The following is a 16,577-nucleotide window of genomic DNA, read 5'->3' as shown; positions in this document are numbered from 1 at the left end:
ATGGTATGTCATATTTTTTACAGTTAAGTACTTACATGTGAATAAGTGTAAGAAAATGACTGCTTATCGGTAGCATATAAATTCAGAGTCAGGAATGATGATGATGCCACAGAACCAGAGACTATGACATTGGTGGCTGAGATAGCAACATCTTTGCCTTTTGATACTTCAATGTACACAAACTTCATTTAATGCAAATTTAAAATATTGTATAAAATTACCTTCAGTCTATGTATACAAGGTCTATATAAAACATAAATGAATTTCATATTTAGACATGGGTCCCATCCCCAAGATCTCATTATGTACATGCAAATATTCCAAAGTAAAAAAAAAAAAAAATCCAAACTCTGAAACACTTCTGATCCCAAGCATTTTGGATAAGTGACACTAAACCTCTACAATTTACTTAGAGAAATAAAGATCAGATCACGAAGATCCTGTGTGTTACAAGAAGAATCTACACTGAAAATGTAAAGCAGAGATTTTTAGAAAGTGCAGTAAGAAGGCTACTGCTAAAATCACAAAGAGTATGAACAACTTCTTCAAGAAGGAATGGAAGTCAGAACTGAATCATAAACAATTTAGGGAGTTGAACAAGATTTAGTGAAAAATTATATTTTAGGGAAGAGAGGGCAAGTCACAAGTGGGATGAAAGTTGGGTTTTGGACTGTGGTGACTGGGTAGATGGAGGCATTTGGCACGGATACACTGAATACAGGAAGAAAACCAGGAGGGGTGTCCTCCCAGGAAGATTGTGGGGGAAGAACCGATTTCAAGAATCAGGTAACTGTGGCACTTATAGCTCTCAAGTTGCCTGCTTGGCCTTCTTTCAAGTATACTTTACTTCCTTTTGTTCTTGCTCTAAAACTTTTACAAACAAACCAACCAAGCAGATAACTGATAACTGTAATCCTAGCACTTTGGGAGGCAGAGGCGGAAAGATCGCTTGAGGCTTGGCGTTTGAGACTAGCCTGGGCAACATAGCACAACCCTGTCTCTACAAAAATAATTAGTAATAATAAATAAATAAATTAGAATCAAACACTTCAAGATGAAATAAACACAATTTAAATAAACTCGAAAACCTGACAGAACAGTTAGAAATCTATTTGTTAGACGAAAATACAGAAGAAAAAGTATGTTGCAACAGCAGCATATGTTGCTTTTGGATGTTATTTTTAAAATCCAAAATAAACCCAAATTGGGACTTACTGATTCCTCATATAAGGTGTCTTGCATTTGCTAATTAAGATATTTCAAATATAAATAAAGCCAAATCCATACCTTTTCTGCTTTTTTATCAGAAATGTCTTGCTTTTCCAGAACAGCCATGCTCTCCTTCAGATTCTTCACAATGTCTGCTGGAGATTTGTGAGACTTCCCAAACGGGAACGGCATGACGGCAGCGGCAGGGGCCTCCGCTGCACTCCGCCTGTGCTACCTAGAACACAGCACAAGGTTCATGTGAGCAAACACTGGGATCAACGGAAGACAGACTTTCTAAATCCTAATCTGGGAAGAAAACCCGTGTTTAGGCAAGTCATTTTACATAACTTTCAAAATCAGTAGGAACAGGGAAATCCACAAATATATGCAAGAAATGATAATACACAGATGTCTTAGAATTACAGAACACTGTATTTTTCAAAACACTTTGTTTTTCTTTCCTTCAAATCAATTGCTCTCCTAACCACGCAAATGGGGACGAACATGCTGACTGATGCTGCTGAGGTAGAGAGCAGCAGCTCCCACTCACAGGGCAACTGCTACTGCCAGGCCTGATGCTGAGCACTAGAACTCATCATTTCATGAAACCCTTTCTAACAATCTCCTGCTCCTATTTACTGGTGAAGTTTAGCAAGGTTGAGCGTGAGGCTCAAGGTACTAAGTGGTCAAACAAGCTCAGATCTGTCTTGATCCAAAGCGTCCTTAATCACCACACTGTACATCAAATTGATAGTATCTATTTTACAGCTGAGGCAACTGAGGCAAAAAGTTAGGTAGGGTGTTTAGCCAAACAGCACTAGCAACAGCCTACTATCTAGGTCTCTCCAGATGCTCTTTTCCCGGTGTTCACGCTGCTCCTCCTAAGCACCCCAGTGGGCTGCCCTGAATATGGCACACACTTCCTCGGCACACCCATCTTATTCAGGCAGTCACAGGGTCTCAGAGCTAGAGAGAAGCCTGGACAGGGGAATAAAATCTCCCATTAGATCCTGTAATCCCCTATGTGACAGTTGTCAAGATGTACTCTTTTTGCCTGGATTTGACCATCTCCTATGAAAGAACTCGCTGGATAAAACCCTGAGGATGATGAACTTCTAGAAGTTCTTAATTTTTTGTGGGTAGTAGAAAACAACATTTCAACCACATAAACCACAGTATTACATCATCCAAAAGGAGAACATGCAACTATTCCAAGAAGGCACTATGAAGAAACAAAGTTAACAAGACAAACAATGGAAGTGACTTGGGAACATGTTGGAAGTTACCATTTTTCAGTAAAAAAACTAGAAGTAGTTAAATTCACAGGCACTAAACAGTCTCCTATCAGACACCGAAAGATGACACTTTTTAGAAAAACCTTATGGATCACTTAGATCAGTGGTTTTCTGACTGTAAGTTTCAACATCCTATATTTAACTGCCCAAGGTGCTCCCCACACACACCCAAGAAAAGGTGGCTCTCAGACACCCCAACCCCACTTTGTTTTCCCCTTCTATATAAACACAAAAATACATCCATTGCATAGTATCATAACACTTCTTTTGAGCTTTACCTAAGATTTGATGAACAAACTTGAGTGTTTTTCCCTTAAGTTTGAAATAGAGTGACTTACATATTTGTTTATAAAGAATGTTTAAAACATGCAAATGAATGCTAATGTCAAGCCTACAACTAAATCATAAACAAGTATGTTATTTCTCAACATGTTCTGATGTGAACTGTTCCAACCAATCTCTAACCCCAAATATTGCCTATCTTACCTTCTGTCACCTTGTAAATCCTTTTTTGACAAAATTAACCAAAGAGAAATAGTTTAATGCATATCCTTTGTCATAGGTTCTTAAATATCCAAGGATTTTTTTTTTTTTTTTTTTTGGAGTCTCGCTGTGTCACCCAGGTTGGAGTGCAGCAGCGCAATCTTGGCTCACTGTAATCTCCACCTCCCAGGTTCAAGTGATTCTTGTGCCTCAGCGTTAGCCTCCCAAGTAGCTGGGACTATAGGTGTGCACCACCAACCCAGCTAATTTTTGTATTTTTAGTAGAGATGGGTTTTCACCATGTTGGCTAGGCTGGTCTCAACTCCTGGCCTCAAGGGAGCCACCCACCTCGGCCTCCCAAAGTGCTGGGATTACAGGTGTGAGCCATCATGCCCAGCCATAAAATCCAAGGATCTTTAAGTCCACTTCTAAATAACTTTTCTATGCCTAAAAGTTTGAACTGACGTTAGGGGAGTCACTCTTAACTAGCTGTCATATGATCGCTCTACAAGCCAGATGGGACACAAAGCCTGGATCATTCTTTTCCTTTTCCTGGATCATTACTTTTTCCTTTGGGCAGGGGAGTGGGCGGCAGGGGGTGGGGGGGAAGCATGCAAGTTGCTTCTCCATAAACAGTGTATCACACTCACAATATGTCCTCTGAAAATATTATCTTTCCTATCTGTAACTCTGCAAATAATAGCAGTGATGTGGAGGGTGGGAATGTTTAATGGTATTTTGCAGGAAGTGTTACGGTGCTATGCAACAGAGATATTTTCAGCTCTGGCTCAATGGTGAAAGATGTGACTTTCCAGGGTAACAGAGGTTTACAAGTCCTACCACATACCAAAAGTTGGTTACAGCAGAAAGAGTACAGCCACCAAAAAGAACACATATATAAAATACTTCTGTGTGGGCAAGGGGAGGCATGACATAATCATTTCTGTTAATTAATATACCAGCCAGCTAAGATTTTACAGAACATATGAACTAGTAAGACTGTATTCTACAGAAATACAGGCCAGGTGAGGCAGCTCACGTCTGTAATCTCAGCACTTTGGGAGTCTAAGGTGGGGTGAATTGCTTGAGGTCAGGAGTTTGAGACCAGCCTCGGCAACATAGGGAGACCCTGTCTCTACAAAAAATTTAAAAATTAGGTGGGCATGGTGATGCATGCCTGTGGTCCCAGCCAGCTACTTGGAAGGCTGAGGCTGGAGCATCACTTGAGCCTAAGAGGTGGTGACTGTACCACTGCACTCCAGCCTGAGTGACAGAGTAAGGCCCTGACTTAAATTTAAATAAGGAGGAAAAGAAACACAGTAACAACTACCCAAAACAAGAAGTGACATTCCTCAGTAGGATCCAAACACATTGGTAAAGTTAATAAATCATTATTCATGATTTAGTTTTAAAAATACAGTTAAAGGCTGGGCATGGTGGCTCACGCCTGTAATCCCAGCACTTTGGGAGGACGAGGCCAGCAGATCACGAGGTCAGGAGTTCCAGGCCAGCCTGACCAACATGGTGAAACCCCATCTCTACTAAAAATACAAAAATCAGCTGGGCGTGGTGGCGTGTGCCTGTAATCCCAGCTACTCAGGAGGCTGAGGCAGGAGAATGGCTTGAACCCGGGACGGGGAGGTTGCAGTGAGCTAAGATCACGCCACTGCACTCCAGCCTGGGCGACAGAGCGAAACTCCGTCTCAAAAATAAATAAATAAATAAATAAATAAATAAATAAATAAATAAATAAACAAACAGTTAGAAACTATCCTCTTTATTTTTAAAGTATGAGTGTAATAATTCTCAAAAATCATTTATGTTCTTAGGCTCATCAACTCTTAATAAAATTACCCAAGATTTTGGTAGGCAAAAACAAGGAAATAACACTCCCCAAAACTTCTGCATTACAGAATTTGTTTCTTATGTTCAGGTTTGCTAAGCATTAAGCTTAAATATCTTACACAGTCATGTAGCTGCCTGATGAGGTTTCAGTCAATGATTGACTGCATTATATGACAGTGGTCCCATAACAGCTGAAAAATTCCTATCACTTAGTGCTTTGTGTTACAAATACCTACTGTATTCAACACAGTAACATGCTGTACAGGTTTATAGCCTAAGAGCAATAGGCTATATCACATAGATTACTATGTAGTTGACTATACTATCTAGGTTTGTGTAAGTACTGTACACTCTATGATGTTTGCACAATGACAAAACTGCCTGATGCATTTCTCAGAATCCATCCCAGTTGTTAAGCAACACAGGAGTTAATTCCTTCACAGGATCATGTGTGACCTTCAGACAATGCTCAAGTGACAGCAAAGGCACCTTTAAGAGTGGACTCTTCAGCTGGTACTGCTTTCTCCCGGGGGGGACGCTGCCTTCCAAAGGGCCTGGTCCACCATCAAGCCATTCAGAGTGCTCTGTGACCTTGAAGGATGTGCAGCACATGGGCACATGTCTGAGTTTTGAAACTGACAATCCCTAGAGTATGGAGATGCCCAAGTTGGAAGTAGCAATGGTTCGAGAAGGGTTCCAGTGGTTTAAAGATATATTTCACCATAACAATCCACCTACCTTTCTCATCTCCCCTTTATCATCAGCAGTATTTCCTTTTATACATATTTGGAGGAATTTAAGGGAATAACACAAATCCACTGGTTAAGGTCTTCAATAATTTTTCACTGCCCTTAGAATAAAACCCAAATTCCTTGACCAAAAACCCAAAAGCAAATGTAATAAAAGCAAAGATAAAGAGCTGGGGCTTAATTAAAGTGCTTTTGCATGGCAAAAGAACAGTTAGCAGAGTAAACAGACAACCCACAGAGTGGGAGAAAATCTTCACAATCTATACATCTGACAAAGGACTAACACCCAGAATCTACAACAAACTCAAACAAATCAGTAAGAAAAAAACCAATAATCCCATCAAAAAGTGGGCTAAGGACATAAACAGACAATTCTCAAAAGAAGATATATAAATGGCCAATGAACATATGAAAAAAATGCTCAGCATCACTAATGATCAGGGAAATGCAAACCAAAACCACAGTGCAATACCCACCTTACTCCTGCAAGAATGGCCATAATTAAAAAATCAATAAACAGTATATATTGGAATGGATGCGGTAATCAGAGAACACTTCTACACTCCTGGTGGGAATGTAAACTAGTACAGCCACTATGGAAAACAATGTGGTGATTCCTTAAAGAACTAAAAGTAGAACTACCATTTAATCCAGCAATCCCACTACTGGGTATCTACCCAGAGGAAAATCATGGAACCAATCCAAATGCCCATCAATCAACGAGTGGATAAAGAAACTGTTGAGTGTGTGTGTGTGTGTATGTATGTATATATATGATGGACTACTACTCAGCCATAAAAAGGAATGAACAGCATTTGCAGCAACCTGTATGAGACTGGAGACTATTATTCTAAGTGAAGTAACTCAAGAATGGAAAACCAAACATCATAATGTTCTCACTGACATGTGGGAGCTAAGCTTTGAGGACGCAAAGGCATAAGAATGATACAATGGACTTTGGGGACTTGTGGGGAAGCGGGCGAGCGATAGAAGACTACAAATAGGCCGGGCGCAGTGGCTCATGCCTGTAATCCCACCATTTTGGGAGGCCAAGGCAGGTGTATCACCTGAGATCAGGAGTTTGAGACCAGCCTGGCCAACATGGCAAAACCCTGTCTCTACTAAAAATACAAAAATTAGCTGTGCATGGTGGTTCGTGCCTGTAATCCCAGCTACTAGGGGGACTGAGGCAGGAGGACTGCTTAAACCTGGGAGGCGGAGGTTGCAGTGAGCTGAGATCGTGCCACTGCACTCCAGCCTGAGCAACAGAGCAAGACGGAGAAGAGGAGGGGGGAAGAGGAGGAGAAGGAGGGATGAGGAGGAGGAGGAAGAGGAGCGGAAGGAGTAGGAGGGGAAGAAGGAGGGAAAGGGGAAGAAGGAGGGGAAGGGGAAGAAGGAGGGAAAGGGGAAGAAGGAGGGGAAGGGGAAGAAGGAGGGGAAGAGGAAGGCAGAAGGGGACGGAAGAAGAGGAAGGAAGAAGAGGAAGGAAGAAGAAGGAAGAAGGAAGAAGGAAGAAAGAAGAAAGAAGAAAGAAAAAAGAATACTACAAATATGGTACAGTCTATACTGCCTGGGTGATGGGTGCACCAAAACCTCACAAACCACTAAAGAACTTATGTAACCAGATACTACCTGTATCCCAATAACCTATGGGAAAAAAATTTTAAAATAAATAAAATCCAAATTCCTTACCATGGCCCTCTAGGTTTTACCTATCTCCAACTCACAGCACAGCCTCTGGCCTTGATCCTAGAGGTCCAGACACACTGATGTCCTTTCTGCTCCCCAAACTACTTCTAAGTCAGATTATCACATTTGCAAATATGGTAAAATTGTAATTTTAAAATTTAGATGGTTGGTGGGTGTGTGGGTTTTCACTGTTAGTTAACTTTTCTGTATGTTCTAAGTTTTTCTTAATATTGTTTTAAAACAGCCTTAACTATGTTTTGGACATAACTGAAGTTCACGAAGAAAATGAACAGAAATAGATATTTTAATAAAATAATTCATTTGGCTTTCAAATACAATTCCCTTGTCCATTAAAAAATGGTTTTTTCTTTTCTTTTTTTTTTTTTTTTGAGATGGAGTCTTGCTCTGTCACTCAGGATGGAGTGCAGTGGTGCGATCTCAGCTTGCTATAACCTCCACCTCCTGGGTTCAAGCAATTCTGCCTCAGCCTCCCCAGTAGCTGGGACTAGAGGCACGTACCACCATGCCTGGCTAATTTTTGTTGTAGAGACGGGGTTTCACCATGTTGGCCAGGCTGGTCTTGAACTCCTGACCTCGTGATCTACCCACCTCAGCCTCCCAAAGTGCTGGGATTACAGGTGTGAGCCACCACGTCTGGCCAAAAAATGGTTTATAATAAACCTCAGCAGGATTCCTTGGGCTAAGCCAAAAGTATTAATGTGACTGGGACAAAGCCAGACAGTGACAGGATTCTAAAGTGGGTTGTGGCAATCCGTACCTGCTATGGGGACAGGCTTCCTTCTGATGGTAATTATTGGTGTATACTTGAATCCCAAAGTGGTGGTATGTGGGGGGCTGTTAACATATTACTTTCATATAAAATGAACAGTTACAACACTGCAAGCTGAATCCGCATGGACATTTAGCTTCCCCCTTTCGCATTCATGCACTGCTCTCCGCTAGTTGTTTTCTTCTCTCTCCCAATGCCCTTTCCTTTCCTGCATCTATTTATTTATTTATTTTCCTTTCTGCATTTAATTCAATGACTCTACTCCAATGTTGATGTCCTTCAAGGTTCCACTCTTGGCTGTCACCTCACCCTATATTCCCTCTGGGTGATCTCATCTATGGTTTCAACAATCTGAAATCCATTTCTAGCCCGACCAATGGCCTACCTTTCCAACTGCTGCTCCCTATAGATGTCCTCCAGGCAATCCAAATTTCATCTAAGTCCTGCTTCTTTTTCAATGTTCCCCTTCCCAGTGAATGGATCCATTGTTCACTCCATCACTAAACTTGGTTGTCACAGCAAACTTTACTCAACTCTTCCATGTATATTCAGTTCACGATTTCAGTCAATTCTGTTTTCTAAATCTATCTTTACAGACATTAAGGGTAGACCCTCACCATTCTCCACAAAGGCCAGGAGTTGTCAATGGGGTCACTATCACCTCTAGGGTATTTCTATGGTCTGAATATACCTTAAAATCCATGGGTTGGAAATTTAATTCCCAATGCAAGTGTTGGGAAGTGGAAACTAATGGGAGGTTTTTAGGTCATGAGGACTCTGCCCTCCTGTCACTATAACGAGGACCTACAGGAGTGGATTGCTCTCTTCTGCCATTGTGAAGACATGGCATTTGTCCCTATTTTGACCTTCCACCTTTCACCATGTGAGATGCAGCCCTCCTCAGACTCTGAATGCCAGCACCTGATCTGGGACTTAGTCTTCAGAACTGTGAGAAATAAATTTGTTTTTTATAAATTACCCAGACTCGTATATTTCGTTATAGCAGCACAAATGGACTACGACAGAGATGTTGTGTGAGATCTGGTTGTCTATGATTGGGACATTTACTGACCATTGAAATATTTTTTTTTTTTTGTAAATATGTAACATTTCACAAGTTTGTGTGTCATCCTTGTGCAGGGGCCATGCTTATCTTCTCTGTATCATTCCAGTTTTAGGGTATGTGCTGCCAAAGCGAGCACCAAAATCATCACTTTAAAAAAGGCATTGCTTTTTAAAAGCACATAAGCATATCCTTCTGCTAGTTTCTATATCCTTTGAGGTTGGGGGTGTGTATGTGGGGGGGGGGGGGGTGGTCAGAATATGAAACTCTTTCCATCTACTCCTGCATCTAAGTCCATCACAGAGAGTTAAAATTCGAGCTTTTAAAAAACGGTTATACTGTTCATTATGCAAAATTCAAACATTAAAGGATTACATAAGGTAGAAAAGTGAAAGTCACCTGAAAAGCCTGTAAGAGACAGTCATTATTAGTAGTTTGGCATATATTCTCCTTTTTATTACTTGCTTTGTATTTGTGGGGGGTTTTGGTACTGAAGTCTACTCTCTTCTCCAGAACAGATGGAGACCAGATGACACTAGAAATGGCCACTTCTATCTTACAAAGAACAAAGACATCAAATCACTGCTCTATTACATTAATATTCTCAAGAATATTTTCAAGAGTACAAAGCAACATCCCAAGAAAGTGCTAGAGAATATACAGGATACCCATTAGGAAAATAAAAGCCCACACCATTTAAGTTAAGCCTGTTAGGTACTGCCCATCTTTGGAGATCTGACTGCTTTTGCGTTATGTGACACACTCCTCTTCACCTATGTATTGACAAATACTGAAAAGAACTCAAAAGGTCCATAAGTCAAAAGGTCCATAAGCCAGTCAGCAGAACATTCATTCACTCCATTTCTAACTGTGTTTACTATATGTCACAAACTTAAGGCATCAAGAGTGCCTGCTCTCAAGACAACATTCTGGTGTGTATGGATGTGGGCGTATGTGTTTAGAGACAATAATGAAAAACTGCTGAATGACAACACATTCCTAGACAGCTGAGCTCACAAGACTCTACACTAACATATGTGTTAGATCTGACTCACGAACTTCGTGGTCAAATACAAAAAGCACAAACAAAGAAAAAACCCCACACATCATAAGATAGTTGCCTACAAGGATTATTAAGGTTCTTAAGCAGTCATGGAGTGTGAAATGTAGTACATGCATGAACACATTCTTTTTAGATAACTGGCTCTAAGACTTAATCCCTTGCTTCCAGTGTTAATGTTACTTAATTAAAACAATAACTATTTACAGATACTGTGTTAAGTGCTAGACTATCTGTCTGGTAGTACAGAACAATTATTTAAAGCACAATAGTTAATTACACGGGTTTTAAAGATAGCCTGGGTTCAAATCCTGACTTTGTTATGCCTCAACTGACTTAGACATTTCTAAGCACTCTTTTCCTTATCTCTAAAATGGGAAAAGCAATAGCTACTTCACGATATGGTATAAGAATTAAAAAGTGCTTAGCACTGTATCTGCATATCTATTATATAAACTGGATAGCAATATAAAATGGAATAAAATGAATGACCTTATTGTTCTATTTAAGCCTACATCTAAAGTCTTGATTCAGCTTTTGGATGAATGGGAAGCAAGATTTTCTTAGCTGCAACTAAGTTGTGATAACTAAAAATTTTTAAAATAAAAACAAAATTGAGAACTACATATGGAGAAGTAAAAAAAAAATAAAAGATGTGGTAACTTAGGTTCCATTAAAATAAATCAAGAGTAGCTTTAAGAAGCAGTTGAAATTTGGGGTAATTTATAAAGGGAAGAGGTTTATTTAGCTCACGATTCTGGAGGCTGAGAGGTACAAGATCAGGTGGCAGCGTCTGGTCAGCTTCTGGTGAGGGTTTTGTGCTATATCTTAACATGGTGAAGAGGAGGTGGACATATGTAAAGAGACCAAACAGCAGAGGTGGCCTCACTTTATAAAAGCCTGCTTTGGCATTAACTAATCCAGTCCCAAAACAGTGAGAACTCAATCCTGGGAGAAAGGCATTAATCCCTCTTAACGACCTAATCACCTCTTAAAGATATCTCCTCCCAACACTGCCACATTAGGGGCCAAGCCTCAGCATAAGTTTTGATGGAAATAAACAACATTCAAACCATAGATGGCACATATTTGTAGAATATTTGTAGAATGAACTATTATTTATTTTGATCCTCAAAGTAACAGCAGGATTCTCCATTTGTTCGTTCCTACAAGAAGTTCTATTATTTCTATTCTATAGATGAGTAAACTAAGGCTCAAAATTATTGGCTAGTTTGTTCAAATATCATGAAACTAGCTAGTAAAGCGAAAAAGCTGGGACTTCAAAGCAGGTTTTTAGCAACTCTTATGCAGTGTCTATTAGGTTGTCCAGTATCTTTCATACTACAATCAATATATTCATATGTATCAGTAAACTTAAAAATGTTTCTAAGCCCGCAATTACACTTCTACGAGTGTATCCTCATAATCTATTGCTTCTCTAAGATTTACATACAAAGATGGCCACTGAATAGTTATTTAATACAGTAGGAAAAGGAAAACCAACCAGAATTCTCAGCAAATAGAACTGAACATTCAGAAGTCATTTAAAATCAATGCTTCTGAGGATTTCTACCGATATGAAAAAATGTCTACAACTCCTCTTAAGGGAAAACACTTTAAATATAAGTTTGCATACATATAATCCCATCTTTATCTATACATGCAGAGCGATTTGCTAAGAGAAAAAATAGCAAAGGTTAATAATGGGTAGTGAGAACATGAATTGATATTTATATTTTTCTAAGGTTAAGTATTTACAAAGTCCATATAATACTTTTTTTCTAAATATAAAAAGTGTATTTTAAAAAAATCAATACATGATCATTTCCTACTAAAAGAAACCAAGACTTCATGAAAGAGTAGGAAATACCCAAGATGAGCCAGGGACGTGTTACTCCAGAAAGCAAATACTGTACTTATGAGGTCATGCTAAAAAAGGCACAGGAGCTAAGTTGAAAAGTGCTGCAAAGGCCTAAGATGGTAGAATTTGAGCATAAAAAATAATGATTACAATGCATTAACATGGAAATCAAGCATCTGCACACATTAAAGTATTGTATATTTAATAGTAACATATGTATATATAAGAATATATGTAAAACATTAGCGCCCATTAAAATTATAATAATACTAAAAATAATTTTCTTTGGTTACCTTGGAGGTTGTGAAGGCAACAATGCAACACTCCAACAATTGGTTTAAAAAAAAAACACGGGGGCGGGGGGCGCACATTTATCCTGCCTTTTTCTGTATAGACTATATTTCAGGATAACCATATAGATGACAAGGGAAAGTTCTTTATAGGAGATTCATAGCTAATAAGTGTGGATAGGAAAAAATTACCATTTTGTTATATATATATATATATATATATATATATATATATATTTTTTTTTTTTTTTTTTTCTTTTTGGAAATAGAATCTCACTCTATTGCCCAGGCTGGAGTGCAGTGGCATGATCTCAGCTCACTGCAAACTCTGCCTCCCAGGTTCAAACCATTCTTGTGCCTCAGCCTCCCTATGTAGCTGGGACTACAGGTGGGTGCCACCACTGCCAGCTAATTTTTGTATTTTTAGTAGAGATGGGGTTTCACCATGCTGGCCAGGCTGGTCTCGAACTCCTGGCCTCAAGTGATTGACCCGCCTTGGTCTCCCAAAGTGCTGGGATTACAGGCATGAGCCACCGCACCCAACCCATTTTGTAATTCTTAATGAAATAATGGAACTAGGCAACAATCACCAATGGCCTTAACCATTAGGTGAAAGGCTGATGGGGAATTTCATAGAGGATACGCAGGCTAACTACATGGACAACACTAATCTATTAGGACAACCACACACCAGTGTGACTCATGATACAACACAATAGGAAGTACAAAGCATCATCTATCAAAATTTGACTCTCCCTTGCCCACCCCACCCAACTACAATTCTGAATCAAATCAAGCTTCTAGATCTAGCGGTTGGTCTACAGGCAACAAGAGGGAGGAACAAGTTTAACATCACCATAGGGAAGCAGTAAATCAAACCCAGAAAATGGACACTTCACAGGACAGATGTCAGGCTTCTCCAAAAAACCAAACAACATAAGAAAAAGGAAAAAAAAAAAAGACAGCAGAGACTTAAATAATAAGAGCCTCATATAGTCAAATACAATGCATGGGCCCTCTCTGGATCCTGATTCAAATAAACAACTGAAAAAAAGATATTTTGGCAATCAAGGGAAATTATATACTGGGTATGACAAGGAATTACTGTTAATTCTGTTAGGTATTATGACGTATGTAAAAAATATCCTGATCAGTTAGACATACATGTGGAAGTATGAGTGATATGGGATTTCCTTTAAAATACTTTAGTTCCACCTCTCTCAGAGAACAAGGTGGGGGACAGATGAAATAGCTAGCAAAGTATTAACTGTTGAAGCTGGAAATTCATTACACTACAGCCTATGTGTATACACTTATATATTTCATAATTTAAAACATAGTAATATGGCAAAAGTTTCTATTTGAAGAACTGGTATGTCTCAAATCACTGGAAGGTGAACTATATAATCCATTATATTTTGCGCTAATTTTCCCCCTTATTTGCCAGCAAGTTAAAAGTTAGATTTATGCATAACTGCAAAATGACCACTGTGACCACTGTAATCCATGTTTCAGACATAAACACTACCTTTTCCTTCTACAGAGTCTCAAAGTTCTCTTACTTAACTGTTCCAATCTACATGTGTTTTCATTTTGTCCACTGTAATTCAATTAAACTCACCTTGTTGATGGCAGGTAAGAGGAAGAATATCTACAGAGGAAACAGTTCCATGGGCAATGCCATCAACAAGTGGTTCATAGTGCTCCTCTCCCCTTCTCTCCGTGAAATAATTTTTGGAAACTACAGCAATGCCAATGGGGGTAACCCCTCCTCAGAAATGCCCTCACTCCTCTACTTGTCAAAATGCTGCCCATCTCTAGACCACTTTTTTCTTTTTCTTTTTGAGAAGGAGTCTCACTCTGTTGCCCAGGCTGGAGCGCAGTGATGTGATCTCAGCTCACTGCAACTTCTGCCTCCCAGGTTTAAGCGATTCTCCTGCACCTGCCTCGGCCTCCCCAAAGTGCTGGCATTACAGGCATGAGCTACCACTCCAGGCCTCTAGACCACTTTCAAACACCAGCTGCTCCATAAAGATCTCCACAGTAAAAGTGTAAGACCCTCCTTATACCCGTAAGATTTTTAAAATCTTGATTATAATGTGTTATTATGTATGTATGTATCACTCCCAACTAATCTGGAGGCCTCTTGATAGCAAAGTTGTATATTAACAGTCATTTTATATTCTTATAACATTTGGCATGCTGCTTTGCATGAGACCCCAGATACATTTGCCAAGTGGGACTGAAGAACATTTCTGAAAACAAAAATCACACCAACAAAAAAAATCCTACAGAAATGATACATAAATAACCAAGAGTTGACTAGAAAATTTTCACCTGAAACCCATGCAGAAAGGAGCCAGAGGCCAGAACCAAGATGCTCTTGGAGGGTAAGTGAGCAGGAAATCTAGCAAAGTGCCTATAATTTCTCTATTGCTACACACAAAGCTGGACTCACACCTTTGCTGAGCAACTCTTAATTTGTCTGTCTGAATACTGTTTATACCATGAATATAAACCTGGCAATATTGTGACTAAAGTGTGATGGCTTCACGTAATACCCAAGATGGAATATTCAAAGGGTTGATCTGGGTTCCTAAGAGTGCAACACTATTTATAGAGCCATCCTGTTATGCAGCGTCACAGCTTTTTGGGATTGACTGTTTTTATCAGTGTTAAACTGGAATGAGTCATTGATTAAGGTGTGTTACATACTGTGATGTGTACTCCCTAACCCAATGTCTGCGAACACTTTCCATCCATGAAACCACCCTGCACCCTTTCTCTAGCTCCCATGGTAACTAATTCCTGTATATCTTTAAAGTCACATAAAAGGCTAGCCGTGACATTACACACTGAATGTAGGTGTCAGGATTCAAGGCAAGTCTTCTGATTCCAGATTCTACTTTTTGTACTTACTTGTTCTGTCATCTTACACATAAATCAAGTATTACAAAAAAATATAAAACATAAAAATGTAATTTTAAACACAGTAATCACAAATAAATGTTTGCTGAGTGACTTTGTTAAATCCCGACCAAATAGGCAAAGGGCAATTTCTAAGATTATGAGTCAAATAAACATGAAAAGGATACCCCTGAATGCCCCATCCTTAAAAAAATTTTTTTTTTAATTTAAAGATTTTGGCCAGGCGCGGTGGCTCATGCTGTAATCCCAGCACTTTGGGAGGCCGAAGCAGGCGGATCACAAGGTCAGGGGATCAAGAACATCTTGGCCAACATGGTGAAACCCCGTCTCTACTAAAAGTACAAAAATTAGCTGGGCGTGGTGGTATGTGCCTGTAGTCCCAGCTACTCTGGAGGCTGAGGCAGGAGAATCGCTTTAACCCGGGAGGTGGAGGTTGCCGTGAGCTGAGATGGCACCACTGCACTCCAGCCTGGGCAACAAGCGCGAAACTCTGGCCCCGCCTCCCCTGCAAAAAAAAGAAAAAAGAAAAAAATTTTAAAAAGCTTGGTCCATACCCCAGCTTCATCTGCTTTTAAGAGGATTATTGCTCATCATTGATAAAGTTCCTTTTCTATTAAATCTCAGATATATGCTGCATAGAGAGTACCTCCCAGTCCCAACCAAGTCTCCGGAGTGCAAGCATAGGTCTGAGGACCATGAGCTCCTCTGAGGACTCATCATCCTTTGGGAAAATAGCATCTTAACTAAAACAAACTTCCTTTAGGCACATGTCTACATTTTTCTCAGAACACTTACAAAAAAAGATTTTTCAAAGACTTCAAATTTTTTTAACCTTTCCAGAATAGAGAGGCAAGGGTAAAGGTAGACCATTGTTAGCGGAACATTCTCCACGATCCTAAAACTAGATATACCTATTATATATGTCAAGTAGACCATTAATTCCATTTTGGTAATCTAAAGTATTAAATAATTCTTATGCTAACCTATCTTTAATGAATGAATGAATTAAACAATGAGTACTTAATGAAATGGGCTTAGTGAATGTATTGTTTAAAAACACTTATGTTCCTCTTAAAAAAGGCTTTCTGTTAATCCTTAAAAATTTTCTTTATAGTAAATGAGAAATGTCAAATTATGAATGTTTATGAAATATGCTGTAATGCTAAGGTTCATTCTTCATTGGAGCAACAAAATATATTTGCTTAGAGAAAAGAGTGGGCTTTGCTTTAGTAGCTGATTTTTTAGAGAAAAGTCATTTTACAAAGTAGCAACAGCTCTTGCAGAAAGCTATGTGTTAATTTTACAAACAGGAACT

The 16,577-nt window shown here is 39.3% G+C and overlaps 1 protein-coding gene and 1 pseudogene across 5 annotated transcripts in view, besides 1 other annotated feature; both read right to left on the bottom strand.

Annotated features, from left to right (window-relative positions):
- Positions 1-16,577, bottom strand: part of CAB39 (calcium binding protein 39) — a 108,234-nt gene that overhangs the window by 59,673 nt on the left and 31,984 nt on the right. For all 5 annotated transcript variants that reach the window (XR_007076406.1, XR_007076407.1, NM_016289.4 and 2 more), the window contains exon 2: positions 1,288-1,444. Coding sequence is in view for 3 of the 5 variants with exons in the window: in NM_016289.4 (NP_057373.1) it covers positions 1,288-1,401 (114 nt within the window). In the remaining 2 variants the exon portion in view is untranslated. The remainder of the gene's footprint in view (positions 1-1,287; positions 1,445-16,577) is intronic.
- Positions 2,384-2,483: an enhancer, noted in NCBI's record as "active region_17248". NCBI's record gives its function as "activates an Ori minimal core promoter by ATAC-STARR-seq in GM12878 lymphoblastoid cells {active_cell/tissue: GM12878}" and the evidence as "EXISTENCE:reporter gene assay evidence [ECO:0000049][PMID:35858748]".
- RNU6-268P (RNA, U6 small nuclear 268, pseudogene) lies at positions 9,156-9,262 on the bottom strand (annotated as a pseudogene).

This window comes from Homo sapiens, chromosome 2 (assembly GCF_000001405.40).
Source record: "Homo sapiens chromosome 2, GRCh38.p14 Primary Assembly".
NCBI lineage: Eukaryota > Metazoa > Chordata > Mammalia > Primates > Hominidae > Homo > Homo sapiens.
Note: the sequence above shows the minus strand (reverse complement) of the source record. Positions and strands in the feature narration are given on the sequence as shown.